The sequence below is a fragment of the Homo sapiens genome, chromosome 7, assembly GCF_000001405.40.
Source record: "Homo sapiens chromosome 7, GRCh38.p14 Primary Assembly".
NCBI classification, from domain to species: domain Eukaryota; kingdom Metazoa; phylum Chordata; class Mammalia; order Primates; family Hominidae; genus Homo; species Homo sapiens.
The window spans coordinates 94,017,607-94,037,462 of record NC_000007.14 but is presented as its reverse complement, the minus strand read 5'-3'; the positions used below and the strand labels follow the sequence as shown (position 1 = coordinate 94,037,462).

The following is a 19,856-nucleotide window of genomic DNA, read 5'->3' as shown; positions in this document are numbered from 1 at the left end:
GCAAGTAGAGATTTCCAGTGGGTCTTTCAAACATGAAATGCCCCCTTTGTTATGAGAATTAGAGACAAAAGTGTATAACTATCTGTAAAAGTAGAGCTGAAGGATTTTATGTGTCTTTTTCCCAGTGCTTCTCAATTTATTCATTAATATATCTCTTATGGTCAGAGAATTAAGGTGCACTCCAGAGCATGCTGAGGTTTACCAGAAGTGACACACCTATAGATGGAAACCATCTTTCCAGTCTCAAGGTTGAACTTTACAGATTCACACAATATATTATGTTGTATATTATGTACTTACTTAACTTTTTCCAAAATTTTCTTGCAAAATTGATGCTTTAAAAAAAGTTGATGATCTTAGTAATTGCTTGAAAAAATGTTAGCTGATTATTCCATGTTGATCCAAGGGAATTTAATCTTTGGCACAGGACTGCAAAATTTGGTAAAGTAGCAGGAGGGAAAAGAAGGGCAGACAGTCATTTGAGAAGTATAGAGTTCCTGGTCTAAAGGATTTGATGTCTTGGGCTCAAGATCTCTATCAACTGATGGAAGTCCTATCACTGTTGTGCTGGATCTTGAACATGTGGAATGCCACTCTCGCTTTCCCAGCCACAGGATCATTCAGTCAGTCAGGGCAGCTTTCATCTTAGACAATTCTGGAGGAACTTTCCCCTTTTTATATTCCCTGATCTTATTATTTTTCTTTTTTTTATTTGGGCATTCTCTGTTTTTTTTTCTCTATATGGAAGTGGGAAGAACCTTTTTCTATATTCCAAATTCAGTAAATTTAGAAACCCAAGGGGCTGGCATACATTTTATGGTGCCTTTTCTTGCAGCTACCATTAAGCTTTTTACAGTGATGAGGCCATCATCATGGAGTGTGAAATACTGAATGAGAATATGTGCCCTCAGAGTGCCCTTTCTGTCAGGGCCACAGAACACAAGGTGGAATGAACTCAATCTGATGAGGTCAGGCAGTACAGATCAGAGTGCAACTTTGATTTGAGAAATGCCAACCCCAAATTCCATTTATATAATTAAAGTCCAGTTTGAATTTTTTAGATAATTCCTCAATTTATGGATTTGTTTGGTCTAACTAACAGAGCCTGACCTGACATTTATTACTCAGATATCACTTTCTATAACCATTCAGGAAGTTCATTTGCCTGTTTCTTTTTCTCTTTTTTTTTTTATATACTTTAAGTTTTAGGGTACATGTGTACAACGTGCAGGTTAGTTACATATGTATACATGTGCCATGTTGGTGTGCTGCACCCATTAATTCGTCATTAACATTAGGTATATCTCCTAATGCTATCCCTCCCCCCTCCGGGCCCCACCCCACAACAGGCCCTGCTGTGTGATGTTCCCCTTCCTGTGATGACCAAAGTTAGTATGGTTAAAAACTGTTCTACCCAGTATTCTATCAATTAATTAGAACTGCAATGTAATGTACACCTAAAAATTGTAATTAGTGTGAGGAACTAAAATCACAATTATTACATTGCACAGCCATGTTCTAAGAATTGGAACAGAAAATCTAAGACCCTAATGTTTCTGATATATGGTTAATTTTCTTACTGTGGCTCCAAAAAGCATGCTTGGTTTTTATCTCCTAAAAGGGAGGCAATACAAAAAAATTAAGCATCCTCTCTGAAAAAACAAACTAAAATAAAACAAAATTTAAGCAGACTCAGCCAGCTCCTGGATTATTTTAGAATGACATTACATCTGATCCTCAGATCTCCAGCTTCCAAGAAACTTTATATAGATGCACTCATTGGGGCATGTGAATAAAAGGCATGAAAGAGATTTTGGTAATATGGCACTATGACATTTTAGAATTGTCATTTATCTCCTGTTTTTCACAAGGTAAGAGTATTTCCTCTATTTTTCCACTGATGCCCTTTTGAATTCATTTCTAAACATGTTTTTGAGAAATTGGAAAATGTACTTTGCCAAGCTTGGAATGTATGTATTTTCATGAGTTATAAGTATAAACCAGAATTGTCTTTTCTACATGATATTATTCCAATCCTCGCGTGTAGTTGAAAGAAAATTGCTAGATTTACTGATCCCCAGTATTCATGGAATATTAATGCACGAATTTTTCTCCTCTGGGTTTATCTTGAGTTCTTATGAAAGGAAATATGAATTTTAATCAGACCATAACATATAAAATGTATGAAAATTTTTAAAGATTTTATGTTATTTGGTGGAGTGTATTCTTTTGCCTGGTATAATATCTAAAATTACATTTGGAAGGCATGAATTTACAAAACAAAAATCTCTCACTTTGATATTTAATAATCATCTTACAGCAGGTAACAGTATAACAGCGTAGTAACTTTTGAAATCTGAAGGTCAGAAAAAAAATCCCGTGACAGAAAACTGAAGCTAAACAATAAGTCATCAACTTTGATTTTATAGTCCAGATACACTTTCTTTTCTCTGCCATCCAAATATCCCCAATCAAACTACAATAGGATAATGGTTGTCAGATAGCTTATGAGATTTTAGCATTTGTCTTGGTTCATTTGGGCTGCTATTACAAAATACCTTAGGCTGAGTAGCTTATAAATAACAGAAATTTATTTCTCACAGCTCTGGAGGCTGGGAAGTCCAAGATCAAGGCACCAGCTGATTCAGTGTCTAGAGAGGACCTGCTTCTTCATAGATGAACACCTTTCCATTATAACCATTATAACCCATAATGAAAGGAGCTAGCTAGCTCTCTGCAGTCTCTTTCATAATGGTGCTAATATTGTTCATGAGGGTTCTTCTCTCATGACTTAATCACCTCTCAAAGGCCCTGCACTCTAACACATCACTTTGGGGATTACGTTTCAACATATTAATTTTGGGAGGACAAAAACATTTAGACCATAGCAGTATTCAACCTCAGAAGAGTTACTAACAGGAAACAACTTATGTGCCAAACTGTAGCAATCGTAATTTCTATTATGTAGCACATTTCCCTTCTCCTATACTCTGAATTTTTTAAAGAAAATACTTCCTCCATTCTATATGCTTTTGATGGGGTATCAGTTTTGCTTCTTTATCTCTGTAACTGGGCTGAGCAGATGGCCTAGGCCTAGTCAATCACAGTACTCCATTCCCCCGAATATACTGAGTACAGCAAACATAAGCACGTGCTGCATGTAATGTCAATAAGAGTCTTGTCTCAGATTGATACAGAGCTACAGAGAAGAGTGCTGTTTTCTTTCTGCTTGTTGTCAAGGTGAGACGTTGTATAGTTGGGGTTACAAGTGGCCATCTTCTCTGGCCACATGGAAAGAGCTGCCAGCAGCAAGAAGTTAAGAGACCATCATGCAGAGAAAAGAGACAGACAAACAACATGGGGAGTAAGAGATACTGTTAAAGAGAGAATATGAATGCAGATTCAGTCATGCCTGAAGGCATCATTTCTGGGCTTCCCAGTTAAGTGAACCAATAAATTACTTTTTTGCTTAAATTTATTTGAATTGTAACCAAGAGAACCCTGACTAATACAGACTGTGTGTCTACGTTAAATAATGTATTGATGGTTCTACTTACATACTAAAGGGTGTCTGTTGTATAGGTAGATTTTCCTTGTTGGCCAAATGGACAGCTTTGGGGAGCATCACACAGAGCCATGAAAAAGGATTAGAATAATTGGCCTTCCAGTTGAACCAGTCCTGGAGAACCGTAGGTTGGAAATACTATAGCCAAATGACCTATCGGAGAGTCAGGCAACAAGATGGTAGAAAGGTTAAGTCTGTAACGAACACAGCTTGCACTGCAGACTTTTAAAAGCTGTAAGTCAATGAAAACTACATTTAAGCTACAAGAGGAATGATATAGGATCATTCCTTCTCAAGTAGCAGTTCTAGGTCGCAAAATACTAACTAGAAATCCAGTAAGTCTCTTCCTTACCAGATGTCTAAAAGAATAACACAGAACATCTGCAAAGTATAATGAAAGACAAAATGTGAAATATGAGCTGGAACAAACAAAATCTAGGGCACTGTGAAGACCTCTATGAATTAACACCTTAGTCAACTTTTAATTTCACAGATACTACATGAGTATGTGTTTAGTAAGAAAAGCTGTCACGACATTTCTTTTACTAACTAAGAAAGAAAACGGGGGGTCCAAAAAGCATAGAATAGTATCTGGGTCCCAGGGATGGGTGATACTTCTTGCTCTCTGCCCCACATATCCTACGTGACAGCGTGGCCTTCCATTATAGCATAGCTTTCTCAAATTCCTACTGTAACATCACAGATCACAATATCCTGCAGATGGGGGATGGGTTGGATTGTACTTACCAGAAATGTAATAGAATAAGAAAACTGAGAAGACAGAGGAATAGCTGCAAAATCTGAATAAGAAGTCATATTTTCTTCTGCCATAGTGTAAAAAACTGAAAAGTACTATTGAGTTAGAGATTAAAAATTAAAAAAAAATGAGGAGCCTCACCTCATGAAATGACCAACCACGCATTATACATCATGCCATCTTTCATCTTTTTCATGTTATCCCATGTCTCTGCTCAGAAGCTCCCTGTGTAGCCCCACAAAGGAAGTCTCAGCTTTTCCACCCTCTAGCCAATCCTAGTCAATATAATATACTAACATGAAGAGAGATATCATGAAAAGTCAGATTCTGGCCAAAACTTTTTTCTGTAACTAATATATTTTCTTGGGTTCTCTGGATCCACAGAATGACTAACCAAAACACTAAGTTTCTTAGCCATGCCTTTCAAATGGTACCAGCAAAATGAACAATGATAATCTCACATTTTGTATTATCAACTTCCTGATCCTTCATATACAGGTGCCATGCTGAACAACTGCCTTATACCTGCAATAGAAGCTCTTCATTCACAACGAGGGGTTGCAGTGTTCAATCCTTCCATGAAATCCCTCAGCAAAGCCACAGGCCTGAACCAACACATACAATCTGCCAGACTATGACTTGGAAGCAATGCTTCTTTAGGGATTTTAGATGATTTTAGACATTCCTTGTGAAATCTAACCGAAATTCTACATTTCCACCAAAAGGGAGGTTTAGTTACAAGAGACTTGGTCTTCCTTTTTCTACACTTTCTCAGGATTTTTGTGTGAAAATAGTCCACACAGATTTAATGTTCTTAGCATTTACTCATGTTTGCGGCTTTCCTTCAAACTTCCACACACATTTCCCATATCCTGCTTTCCTTGAAAAGTAGAATATTCCAGGTCTGCTCAGTGTAAAGCATAACAAAATAATTGTTTCACAGTCCCTGCAACTCTGCTTTCAAGTGGGTCCCCCAGACTCTCCCCCATATGGTGCAGTGGTTTGCAGTCACCTTGTACAACCAGGCTCTGAGATTCTTCCTTGCCCTTGTCTCACATGGCCAGTTCTCACCCCCTGACCTCTCTCATATGTGGCTTCTCTTTCTCTTTTCTTATGCTTTCGAATTGGTCCTTACACTATGTATTCTGACCATTTTGCTAACTCATTAACGTGTGGTTGAATTGTAATCTCCTCCAGAGTGAAACTAATAAACATGTTCTCTCTTTCATCACAGAGGATAATTTTTTACCTTGACATCAAATGTCTTAAATCACTAGCTATCCCAGAAATCCAAATAAATAGAGGAAAACACAGATGCCACAAAAAGCAAAAAACAAACACACTGATACAAATAGCAAGGATCAAAAAGTTGACCTTCTTCTATTCAAACATCTCATCTTTCTCCCTGCTTTTCTACCTATTTGAATCTAATTTATTTTCCCTTAAAAGGTGGTAGAGCTTTTTACACTTAATGGAATTTACTTCTAAGGTATCAAAGTCAATATTCCCAAACATCGTAAACCCTGCTTCACAATATTTCATTTACAGTATTTCATTTACAGTGCTTACATTAGTTTATTTGACATTCAAAACTACTTAAATAGACCTCAGGCAAGTAGGCATTTATTTTAAAAAATGCATTGAAAATCTGTGATATGCCAGAGGAAGGGACAGTGATAAAAGGCCAACAGTTCAGGATTCTCTATGGAAAATTGATTATAGGATGTGAGAATGGATAGGGGAAAAATAGTTGAAAAGCTTTTATGGCGTAGGTGTGAAATGATTACGGCATGAATTAGACTATGTTTGTAGTGGTGGTGGAGGAAGAGAGGAAAGGGCAATTTGAGAGATATTTAATATGTAAAATCCACAGTCTATGTTGCTGGATTGCATTTTGGATGTGAGCAGGATTTAACTGTCAACGCAGGAGATGTCAAGGAACTCTTAGATTTCTGGGTGTGCAACTGGAAGGATGAAGGTGCTATTCATGAAATCAAGAAACAGTGGAAGAAAAAATTTGGGGGAAATAGATCATGAGTTTGGGTTTAGATAGGTTGAGTTTGAAGCACACCTGAATAATCCAAAAAAATATTTCAAAAAGGCAGTTAGACATACAGGTCTGGAAGTCACAGGCATGATCTGTGCTGGAAATATGAATGTGGAGTTGCTTGCTTGTGGCTCTTCACGCCAGGAAAATAATTGTAGTCATCTGGTGTGAAGCTGTAGAATGATGAGTCTCTAGGAAAGTGCTTCTAGGAGGAGAAACCATCAAAAGAGACTGAGAAGATGTGGTCATAGTGATAGAAACCAGTGCCAAAGATTGTGATAAAACAGACACTATGAACATGAAGAAAAGAATAAAGTTGGGGCTAATGTTGCTGAGAAGTCGTGTAAGAAATAATGTGTCAAGCACCTCCCAAGTGGTTTAAGATATAATCTCATTAAGTTCTCACAGTAACTCTTATAGACGGGGAAACTAAAGTTCACAGAAGATGAGATGACTTGCCCAAGCTCATGCAATTCTGTGAGGCAGATCTAGAACTCAACACCCAAATGTTAAAGATATCTGATTGAGTCTTCTTGCTGATGATATATATATTTTAAATTACAGATGAAATGTTTCCTCAAAATGAAAATGGAATAAATTTGTAAACCACTTTTTAAGTTGTCAAAAAAATCACCATAGTCTTTCTTTTTAGGTGTTACCTGTTTCATTTTATCAGTAATACATGAACATATTTAAAAGGGGTTATTATAAAAAGCACCTCAACTCTGCCCCATTCCCACACTATTTCTGCTTTGGAAAGAAATCACTTTTAATACGTTTAGCTGTGTAGTTGTTCTTGGTTATGTCATTGTACTTATTCTCATATTTCTAAATAAATGGTTTATGCTGCTATTTCTAAATTTGTAATTTTTGGATACTAACTGTGTACTTCCTGTTATGGTAGATGCAGCCTCATTGCACATGACCATTTCCCTGTCTCTTCCTACCCAGTCTAATTATATCATCATTTCAGTTATAGAAAATCACATTATACATTAATGTAACTTGGTAAATATATTGTTCATTAGAGACAGATGTTTTATTATGTTTATATTTTCTCACGTTAATAATCGCCCCATTTTAACTTACATGGTTTTAAATAAACCTATTCTTAATTTTCCTTCTTAATTACCTCATTACAGTCACCATAAACCAACTGCTAGTTGTTTCAAAATGCTCAAATTTGTCAACTAAGTCCTCTCACTCCCCAGCATTTTCATGCCTCGTTATGTTTTTATTCTCCCTCCATCTGCTTTCTGTCTTCTGGCTTTCAGCTTCCCCTGGAGGTGTGTTCCCCTCTTTGGCTCTCATCCTTATCTTCTTTTAATAATGGAATCTATTATAAGAGAATGGAAAGCAATGTGATACCTGTCCCAGGTCATTGATACTTCAAGTGTTGTATCTCTCAACTGTGAAATGTAAGGATTTGTTCTCTACAGAAGGCAAATGGATAAAAAGCAGATTCTATTTGCACCTTAAAATCAGCTTAAGAGGCCACCATTTGTCACTGTGTGTGTTGAAATATGTTGCCTTATCAGCATCACAAGCATCGGGCATATTGATTTAAGACAATAACTTAACTTTCCATGAGAACCCTCCCTGCACAAGAGTGGTGCCATAATCATTCTTAGTTACAGAAACATTTGAGTGAAAGCTGATTTCAAAACGATTTATAAACTGCATACATCGTCAATCTTGCATTAAACCAAATCATTATTTAAAATGTAATTTATGTTCTGCATGTTATATTTCCTAGTTTTTAAAGCATGCTATTAAATATTTTATAAGCAATTGTTGTCACTTTGTCAGAAATATAATAACATTGGGGAATTTTACATTCATTTTTTAGGAAAAGAATCATACAGTAGGTTGTAAAGCAAAGCAAACTGGTTTACAATCACTTTTAATCCATTTTTGCAAAGACTGTTGTTTCAGAAAATCATGCAATCTTGAATATGTATGATTAAAAACTAGATAGTCTTAGATATATTAATTGGATTGCTCAACCTAACTGCCATTTGCTATAATATAGATGTAAGCTGAATTTCATAAAGGGCCATAATAATCTTGCTGTAAAAATAAATATAGACTTCTGGTTTAGGATGACACATAAACCACAAAGTGCTAAGTCATAAAAAACTCATAAGCTGTGAGGTTTTGTTGACAAAATTCCACTAGAAGTCCCCTGGCCTAACATTGTTTAGGTCAGTTATTCTTCAAGTAAAGTCCCAGGAACAGCAGCATCAGAATCACTTAGAATTTTTAGAAATGCAAATTCTTAGGCCCTACTCCACACATACTAAGTCAGAAATGCTGTGCGTGGGGCCCAACAATCCGGACTAAAGCAGTAATTCTCGAACTTCAGTGTGCATCATCAGATCACGGAGACAGCTTATTAAAATACAAATCCTAGGATCCACCCCTAATTTAGTAGCTCCCAGGTGATACTAATGCTGTTGGTCAGGGGGTTACTCTCTGAGAATTAATGACCTAGGAAAGCTAAGCACTATGGGAATTAAATGGGTTACTATATGGAATCTGATGATCTTTGCCCTATGAGGATTTTGTTTGGGCGATTTTCTCTGATTTCCTTTGGAAGCATATGTATGTAAGGAAGAGAAAGGGGAGAGCCAATCCCTGAATAAACATTTATTGACACTGTGGAAAGCACAGACAGACAAGAACTATACTCTTGGAGTTTACAGACTAGCAGGGGAAAATAGCCATAAACACCTAAGTTAAATTTTAGTTATGGCTATTTTACATACTTTAAAGTTTTTTAAAGTAAGTACTGTGCTTAAAGGTCTCCAAACATGGATATCTGGAGAAATTAATAAGTGATTTTTAACTTGCAATCTGAAGGATGATGTAATAGTTTTCTATTGTGGCTGTGTGAAGATCACAAACTTAGTGGTCTTGAGAACACAAATGTTTTCGTTTACAATTCCATAGCATCAAATTCTGACATCAAGATCACCGCATTGAATTCTGACATTGACATGCCTGTACTAAAATCAAGGTGTCAGCAGGACTGCATTCCTTCCTGGAGGTTCTAGGTGAGAATCTGTTTCCCTGTCTTTTCCAGCTTCCAGGACCTGCCCTCATTCCTTGGCTCATGGTCCTCTTCCTCTGTCTTCAACACCAGCAACATAATCTCTCTCTGTGCCTTGTTCCCATAGTCACACCATCCTGTGACTCTCCTCTTCTACCTCCCTCTTCTATTTGTAAGGACGCTTCTGATTAAATTGGGCCCAGCTGTATAATCCAGGCTACTTTCCCTATTTTAAGGTGAGTTGATTGGCAACTGTAATACTATCTGCAACCGTAATTATCTTTTACCATGTACACATCCACAGGCTCTGGAGACTAAGATGTGAACATCATTGGAGTATTCTGCCTACTACAGAGGTTATGAATTTAACAGAGTATAAAGAAGGGAAAGAATATTCCAAGCATGTGTTGTTCCATGAACAACATACATAGAGACCCAGGGAATGACAAGACCAAGGCAATTAAAAATATGTACAGAGGCCAGTATTCCCTGAGGTTTGAGAAAAAAGATAAGGATGGTGATTTGGAGATGGGGTCTCCAGAAGAAATAAATGTACAAACAAATTAAATGAGGTCATAATTTTGGCAGAAGAGATGAATGGAAAAAAAAGCCACCAAAGTTTTTGCAATCTATCCATCTGACAATGGTCTAATATCCAGAATCTACAAGGAACTTAAACAATTTTACAAGACAAAAAAAAACCATCAAAAAGTGGGCAAAGGATATGAACAGACACTTCCCAAAAGAAGACATTTATGAAGCCAACAAACATATGAAAAAAAACTCATCATCACTGGTCATTAGAGAAATGCAAATCAAAACCACAATGAGATACCACCTCACACCAGTTAGAATGGAGATCATTAAAATGTCTGGAAACAACAAATGCTGGTGAGGATGAGAAGAAATAGGGACGCTTTTACACTGTTGGTGGGAGTGTAAATTAGCTCAACCATTGTGGAAGACAGTGTGGCGATTCCTTAAGGATGTAGAACCAGAAATACCATTTGACCCAGCAATCCCATTACTGGGTATATACCAAAAGGATTATAAATCATTCTATATAAAGACACACGCACACGTATGTTTATTCCAGCACAATTTACAATAGCAAAGACTTGGAACCCATCAATGATAGACTGGATACAGGAAATGTGGCACATATACACCATGGAATACTATGCAGCCATAAAAAGGAATGAGTTCATGTCCTTTTTAGGGACATGGATGAAGCTGGAAACCATCATTCTCAGCAAACTAACACAGAAACAGAAAACCAAACACTGCATGTTCTCATTCATAAGTGGGAATTGAAAAGGAGAACACATGAACACAGGGAGGGGAACATCACACACAAGGGCCTGTAGAGGGGGAGGAGGTGAGGGGAAAGGGGAGGGAGAGCTTTAGGACAAATATCTAATGCATGTGGGCCCAAAACCTAAATGACGGGTTGATAGGTACAGCAAACCACTATGGCACATCTATACCCATGTGACAAACCTGCACGTTCAGCACATGTATCCCAGAACTTAAAATAAAATAAAAAATTCTGGAATCATTAAAGCAAATATACTCCAAACTTTTCATCTAAGTAATGTGCATATATATTCAACCTTCAATTTTAAAGTGACCATTTTGCTTTGTAATAACAATTCATGTTCTTCTGGGGATGCTTAAAGTTATATTCAAGTTTCCTAGATTTCTGCCAGAACTGTCAATAGAAGGAAGGTCACTGCTCCTGAAGGATACAATAATAGATGGAAAGTTTTTAGTAGGAGACATAAAGGCTTCCACATTATGTTTCCTACCCAGGCAAACTAGTTTTATCTATTTGATGTGATAATTCTTAAAGGATAATTTATCATTATCAGCAAATGTTACATGGAAATAACTTTCTTTCTGGCATCTAAATGTCCTGAGAGACACCCATGAGCATCATTAGTACATAAGATAATTAGTCTATTTTGCCCTTGGAAAGTGTCTATGAGGGAGTGCTGCCCTGAGTCTAAACACAATTCTCTGTGCTAGAGAAGGTGTTCTTAAGTAAGTAGCCTGGAACTCCTGATGTTACTTGCAAAGGTTTCCAGGTAGGTCCATTTTCCATACTCATTTTTTTTTTTTTTTGGGAAAAGGGGACCATTGCTTTAATCAAAGAATTATCTGCCTCTAAAAAGCAATAAAAATGACCACCGTAGGGAAACCATCTCCATTTTCTCTCTCAACTCTTCCAATGGGGACTGATTTGAACAAATTAATTTTCAGTACAGCCATGAAAGTGAATTCAAAATCTTTAAAGTTAAAATGACTAGAAGATGAAATATGCATTAAGTCCTTATTTCACATTTTAAAATAGCTATAGAGACTAAAATGACTTGATGAAACTATCAGTAGTAGTGGATGCTAAAGAGAAGAGAAAACCACAGGCAAAAGTTCTGGATAGTACCTCTACTCACTGCATTACTGATGGAAGTGGATTGAGGAGCACACATTTAGATTCCTTGCCACATTATTACACTTTTTGAAGCATCCGCTAATTGTTCAAGAATATCCTCTGGGCATGCGAAAGCCAGAATACTCCTCAGTGAGTCTCAAGTTTAGGTAGATAATAGGATTCCTAAGGATATTGTGCCTGGCACATAGAGAGTCCCCAAAATGCAATTTTTGATGACTGAATGAATGAGCAAATGAAAGTGGGTAAGATAAAACGTTGAGTCTTGGGTACCCCATCCTTTTAGAGAATTAGTTGCTCTTGCTAACTATTTTTCCAACCAAATTTTATCTGTGTATTTTGAAGAAACGACCATTTTTATTTTCCCCCTTTCCCCCATAAAAATGCTAATACAGGCCTGTTTTAAAATTCTTAAAAACATCAATTGGTTCAAAGAGGTATAAGCATGAAAGCAGGAATACCATCATCACTGATCATTACTGTTTCCATTTGGCAAGTATCTGTCTTGATTCTTCTGTGTGTGTGTGTGCGTGTCTCTCTCTCTCTCTCTCTTTCTACACACACACACACACTGCATGTATTTATAAGTTAAATATATATATTTACATATGAATACATATTCATGAAAAGAATACTTAAAATGTTATAAACATAATTTTATGATACTGACACAATTTGTACACTGGTTATTCTCATTGATGTTTTTGTTTTGGGTTCTTTAAAAATTATGAAATAAATATTCTGATGTTTACATCCTTTTGGACTCATTCTCTTCTTGGGAAAAGTATACTCTGCCTCAAAGTATATAATTACTTAAAATTCTGATACATATTGCCAAACTGTCATACAGGTTTTATTGACTTAGAGTTCCATTAGCAGTTCATTTCTCTCATCAATCAACCCTGGACATGTCCATTAAAATTTTTTATTACTAATCTCATAGGCTATATATCATACACCATTGTTAATATGTAATAATAAATCAGTAGCTACTTTGAACATCAGTAGTTATTTTGAACACCATTCTTTTCCAACATCATCCTTATCTTAATAATACGTTCTTTTGAGAATTGTCTTTATCCTAATAATTATTAAAATATTCCTCTTTTATCAATTGATTTTGAAACCCTTATTTCAGATTATAATTTATATATTCTGACAATATATATTTTCAATTTGTAATTTTTAAGCCTTATGTATTAGTACATTATTATAACAACAAGAGCACGACATTTATAATAGCGTGATTTGATGAAGAGGTTTTAGGGCCCAGATGCCTTTGATCTTGTGGCTTCACTCTCCCCTCAGGCCTTATCATTGTCCACACCCAGGTAGGGGCAGGAAGGGAGTATGGAAGAGACATACTAGCCTTTTATAAGCCATGACCTAGAAGGTGGCATGAATTACTTTCATTCATATTTCATTGGCAAAAACAAGTCATATGGCCACATCTCATGGCAAATGGGATAAGGAAATTTAGTCCTCAGCTGAGCTGTTACTTCCATCTACAACTGTATACTATAGAAAGGATGAACAAAATTTAAGGTAGAGACACTATTTCTGACATAACTTGTTTCTGATGTTTTTGGCAAGCATACGCTATTACGCTTTATGAAGTTAAATCAATCATTATTTCTCCTCTCAAAATATTTCCTGATTCACTGAATGGGGGCATGAAGCAGCAGCCTAGAACTTGCAGCACTTTTCTCTTTGGACTGGGGAGACAGAAATTGGAGTTCAGAGTTCCCAAAACAACCATTCAGGACTTGAAGGACCAAGATCCCAGAAAAAAAGAGGACTGCAGAGAAGTGAGCCTGATTTTCTGTTTGTAATCTGCCCTCAATATATTTGTTAACTCCTAGCTAGTTTAAGTGTGGTAAGAAAGTCTGACAAAGCAAGCAGAAAGCAGCTTCTAAAAGGTTGACCCTTTAAGCAGAGAACACTGTAATTAGATGTTACCAGGAAAACAGAATTTTAAGTTCATGGCCAACCAAAGAAGAATGTCCCATGCTTCCTGTTGAGAACCTGAAGGGGCTATGCTCTAGGAGTAGGGGCAAATAAAAAATAGAACCATACAACTGGATATAACTCCCTCCCAGAATAATATTAAATCTCTTGAAAAAATTAATATCTGGCAATTCCACTAAAAGCTCTCTGTGTCTGTTTATAAATAGAGTGATAAACTATTTACAGGGAAACAAGAATGATTCAATATTTTCCCTCTCTCCTCCCTTTATCTTGATTTTACTTTATTTTTTTAACTTTGCTTTTCCTTTGAAATAATGCTGGTGAACTGCCTTGGAATTGTCAGGTTGGCTTTTTTTTTTTTTTCGTTTTTTTCCCCCCACAGAATATGATTTGCTTAATCTTCCATGAGTTAAGCAGCCTCTGTGGGGTGTACCAACTTTCTTGTTTTGAAATCACATTTCTAACTTTAAAAATTATTTTTGCTAATCTGAAAATACTTTTCATTTTGATTTTCTATGAAAAATATGTATATAGAAAAAGAGTCATAGAAGCCAGAACTTGTCATGTTTCCAACAAATAAAGAGAATAAGCTTGTCTGTAGACATAAGCCCTTTCTACTATTGTGGTGGGGAAGTGTATTAGTTCATTCTCGTGCTGCTAATAAAGACATACCGGAGACTGGGTAATTTATATAGGAAAGAGGTTTAATTGACTCACAGTTCTGAAGGGCTGGGGAGGCCTCAGGAAACTTACAAACATGGCAGAAGGGGAAGCAAATACATCCTTCTTCACGTGGTAGCAGGAGAGCAAAGAATGAGTCCCCAGAGAAGGGGAAAGCCCCTTATAAAACCATCAGATCTCATGAGAGCTTACTCACTATCACGAGAACAGGATGGGGAAACCACCCTCATGATTCACTTATCTCCACCTGTTCCCTCCCACCACACATGGGGATTATTGGAACTACGATTCAAGATGAGACTTGGGTGGGGACACAGCTGAACCATATCAGGATTGTGGGGAGTGTGTAGAAAGTAAGGGTCCAATTTAAAATTTAGTCTCCTTAGTGGCATCAAAACAAGTCCCTGGTCTAACATGGAATCCTGTCACACCCCCTTGCTCCCAATACACTCACAGAAATGAAAGTATCCATGCCTGTCAAATACAGATTAAAATAACAAGGTATTATATAAACATAAAAAATTTATATAAAAGTAGAATAGATCTCATGAGGTATTTGGAGAGAAAGTAATTATTTTTGTTCTATCCTTTTTGTTTAAGGATATTTCTGAAAGGGCTTTCTTATTTTGTAGTTATTTGAAATATTTTATAAGCTGTTCCTAAAAGAACAGTTGGGCTCATCAGAGAACATAAATGCAATTTTAATTCTGTATTTCTGCCATATTTCAATTTTAAAAGTTTAAGCACAGTTTGCTAATTCTACTCTATTCTTTTTGTAACAGCACCAGTTCACAAATTTGTGGTAAATCAGTTCCAAAATAATTTCATTTTACCTGCACAGATTTCAATTTTATGGGTATTTTACTTTTGAAATGTATAGATATTCTCTGTCTTTTTACTAATGTGTTCCTATTTTAATTTTTACTGAGACTTTTGCCTGTTTACCTAAATATTTGATGCTTCAGGCCATGCATATTTCAAGAAAATCCCATGTTGGACTTTAAAAGAATTGGACAAAACAGACAATGCAACATACTATGTGCTGAGATTGCAAAAGCTGAGATTTTATGATTTTTTTCTTTTAATCAAAAACTTTTCAAATTTTATGAATTGGCATTACAAATACTCTACAATCCCATAAAGAGTTAGCAGAGATGCTAAGAACCAAGACTGAAAACAGATGAAAAAAGGTAATATAAATAGGCTCACAAGTGACTCAGATATTAAACCTACTCATTAAAACAATCATAACAAATATTTTTAAAAATAGGTGAAAAATCATGAGGATCAGACAGCTTCACCAGTAAATTCTTCCATATACATAAGGAATTAGGCCACCTAACCTTGATTATAACATCTGACATTATTACAGAAAAAGAAAATTACAGATGAGTTTCTCTCATTAATAAAAATATATAAATCTTTAACAATTTTTCAAATCAAATTCAACAATATATAAAAACTAATACTGTACTAGATTCTGACAAGTTAAGTTTAACCTGAGAATGCAGAGTTGTTTCAACATTTGAAGATCAATGTAATTCAGCAAATTAAAAGAAGATTTTACAAGCTGATTATCTCATTTGCTTCAGAACAGAATGTGATAAAATTCAACAACCACTTGGCAAGCTAGAAATATAAACTTCTTTAATCTGACATTGTTTTTAAAAAAAAAAAACAAAGAAAATGTTATACTTAATGTTTTAATAGTCAAAGTTTTCACCTTGAATTTGTAAATGAGATTACCATTGTTCAACATTATAGTGGAGGTCCTAGCCAGTGAAATATAGGAAAAAAAGGAAAATAAACAAAAGACCTAGGGATTATAAATGAAGAAATAAAACTGTTTACTTTTTTTTTAGAATAATTTATCTCACTTTATTTTTTTTCTCTCTCTCTTTTTTTATTATACTTTAACTTCTAGGGTACATGTGCACAATGTGCAGGTTTGTTTCATATGTATACATGTGCCATGTGGGTGTGCTGCACCCATTAACTCGTCATTTACATTAGGTATTTCTCCTAATGCTATCCCTCCCCCTCCCCCAACCCCATGACAGGCCACAGTGTGTGATGTTCCCCACCCTGTGTCCAAGTGTTCTCATTGTTCAGTTCCCAACTATGAGTGAGAACATGCGGTGTTTGGTTTTCTACCCTTGTGATAGTTTGCTCAGAATGATGGTTTCCAGCTTCATCCATGTCCCTACAAAGGACGTGAACTCATCCTTTTTTATGGCTGCTTAGTATTCCATGGTGTATACGTACCACATTTTCTTAATCCAGTCTATCATTGATGGACATTTGGGTTGGTTCCAAGTCCTTGCTATTGTGGATAGTGCCACAATAAACATACGTGTGCATGTGTCTTTACAGCAGCATGATTTATAATCCTTTGGGTATATACCCAGTAATGGGATGGCTGGGTCAAATGGAATTTCTAGTTCTAGATCCTTGAGGAATCGCTACACTGTCTTCCACAATGGTCGAACTAGTTTACACTCCCACCAACAGTGTAAAAGTGTTCCTATTTCTCCACATTCTCTCCAGCACCTGTTGTTTCCTGACTTTTTAATGATCGCCATTCTAACTGGTGTGAGATGGTATCTCATTGTGGTTTTGATTTGCATTTCTCTGATGGCCAGTGATGATGAGCATTTTTTCATGTGTCTGTTGGCTGCATAATGTCTTCTTTTGGGAAGTGTCTGTTCATATCCTCCACCCACTTTTTGATGGGGTTGTTTGATTTTTTCTTGTAAACTTGTTTAAGTTCTTTGTAGATTCTGGGTATTAGCTCGTTGTCAGATGGGTAGATTGTAAAAATTTTCTCCCATTCTGTAGGTTGCCTGTTCACTCTGATGATAGTTTCTTTTGCTGTGAAGAAGCTCTTTAGTTTAATTAGATCTCATTTGTCAATTTTGGCTTTTGTTGCCATTGCTTTTGGTGTTTTAGTCATGAAGTCCTTGCCCATGCCTATGTCCTGAATGGTATTGCCTAGGTTTTCTTCTAGGATTTTTATGGTTATAGGTCTAACGTTTAAGTCTTTAATCCATCTTGAATTAATTTTTGTATAATGTGCAAGGAAGTGAACCAGTTTCAGCCCTCTACATATGGCTAGCCAGTTTTCCCAGCACCATTTATTAAATAGGGAATCCTTTCCCCATTTCTTGTTTTTGTCAGGTTTGTCAAAGATCACATGGTTGTAGATATGCGGTATTATTTCTGAGGGCTCTGTTCTGTTCCATTGGTCTATATCTCTGTATTGGTATCAGTACCATGCTGTTTTGGTTACTGTAGCCTTGTAGTATAGTTTGAAGTCAGGTAGCATGATGCCTCCAGCTTTGTTCTTTTGGCTTAGGATTGTCTTGACAATGCAGGCTCTTTTTTGGTTCCATATGAACTTTAAAGTAGTTTTTTCCAATTGTGTGAAGAAAGTAATTGGTAGCTTGATGGGGATGGCATTGAATCTATAAATTACCTTAGGCTGTATGGCCATTTTCATGATATTGATTCTTCCTATCCATGAGCATGGAAGGTTCTTCCATTTGTGTCCTCTTTTATTTCGTTGAGCCGTGGTTTGTAAAATAGTTTACTTTTTATAGACAACTTACTTTAATCAGTGGGTAATCTTTTATTTCATTTTTATATAGCATCAACAGTTGGAAAATGAAATACTTAAGAAAGATATAATTTACAATCGCATAAAAAATATCAATACGTAGGGATGCATGTAGTAAAAATTTTGCCAGATCTCTATACAGAATACTATAGAACAGTATGTAAGCAATCTCAACATAATTAGGATGGATATATAGTGTTTAAGAATTGGAAAACTCTATGCTGTTAAGTATATTATTGCTGATTTAATGCAATACAATCCCAGTCAAAATACTAAATTTTTGAAGTGAAACTTGACAGCTGTTTCTAAAAGTTATATGGAAATACAAAGGGGCAAGAAGTTCTGAGATATTTTTTAAGAAGAAATACATGGTAGGGAGACTTGCTTTACTGAGTGTTAAGTTATATTATAAAGCTATTTAAGATAGTGCATTGATGCTGCAAGTATAAAAGAACAGACCAATGGAATAGGTAAAGAGTTCATAAAAAGGCCACATATATTGTGGTACTTGGTTTATGAGAAAATTACCATTACACAGGATTGGGGGAAAGGACAGTATTTTCAGTAAGAATGATAATGAAAAAAATGGGTATCCATACTGAAAAAAAATACAACTTGATTCCTACTTCATCTCCTACATAAAACCAATTACATTTAAAGTATAGGTATAAATGTGAAGGACAAAAAAACTAATTATTTAGAATTACAGGAGAATATCTTTATGACCTCAAGGTGGAAAAAGTTTTCTCAAACAGAATATAGAATATTCTAACTATAAAATAATAGAATTTCTGTTTGTCAAAGGGCATTACTTAGTAGTAAAATAAGGTAATACAAAGAATGGAAAGAGTTATTTGCAACACATATGGCAAACATAGGCCTTGGAAAGGGAATATATGGAGACCTCCTACAAATAAATAATGACCGATACAATAAAAAGGGGGCAGAAAACTTAAACAGGCATTTAATAAAAGAGGATATTCAAATGGCTCAAAAACATGAAAATGTGTTCAATCTCATTAGTAATAATAGGAGTGCAAAATCAATTAAAATACGTACCATTATTTGTTCATTTCATAAAGAGTTTGGCATCATCTTATACATTTAGAATACAACTATACAATGACCCGACAATTCCACTCCTGTATTTTATACACTAGGGAAATACATGAAACTGTATCATGTGAAAATGACAAGACCGTTCAAAGTCAAGTTATTTGCAACAATTCCAAACTGGAAACAAATCAGATGTCTAATAATTAAAGAATAGATTAATAACTGTGATACAGCAATAAAAATAAAGAAATGAAATATAGCTATATATACCAATGTTGAACTTTTAAGAACATACCATTGAGCAAAACAAATCAGTCACAGAATACAAACAAAACTATCATGTTTAACAAAAAAAACTATCATGTTTAAGAAGGAAAAATCCATCATAAAGCTATATTTAAAAGAGGCAAGTAAAAGTTCTAACATGAGAGCACTACAAAGGGTGTTGATAATATTCTGTTTTTATTACCCAGGTGTTTGCTTTATAAGAATTTGCTATGCCATATATCAGAGTTATATGCACTTTCTCTATATATGTAGTATTTTACAATAATGGGTTTATACAAACTGATTTATTATCGTATGAAAAAGGGATGAGACTCCTTTCACCATTAAATAAATTCCTACAACTTTTTTTATTTTTGCTTGTGACAGTTATTTAACTC

General features: G+C 35.6%; 1 long non-coding RNA gene across 1 annotated transcript in view; it reads right to left on the bottom strand.

Annotated features, from left to right (window-relative positions):
• Positions 1-14,657, bottom strand: part of LOC130890646 (uncharacterized) — a 44,949-nt gene extending 30,292 nt beyond the window's left edge. The window contains exon 1 of the long non-coding RNA NR_186703.1: positions 14,556-14,657. This is a non-coding gene — a long non-coding RNA (uncharacterized LOC130890646). The remainder of the gene's footprint in view (positions 1-14,555) is intronic.
• Between the last annotated feature and the right edge of the window lie 5,199 nt (positions 14,658-19,856).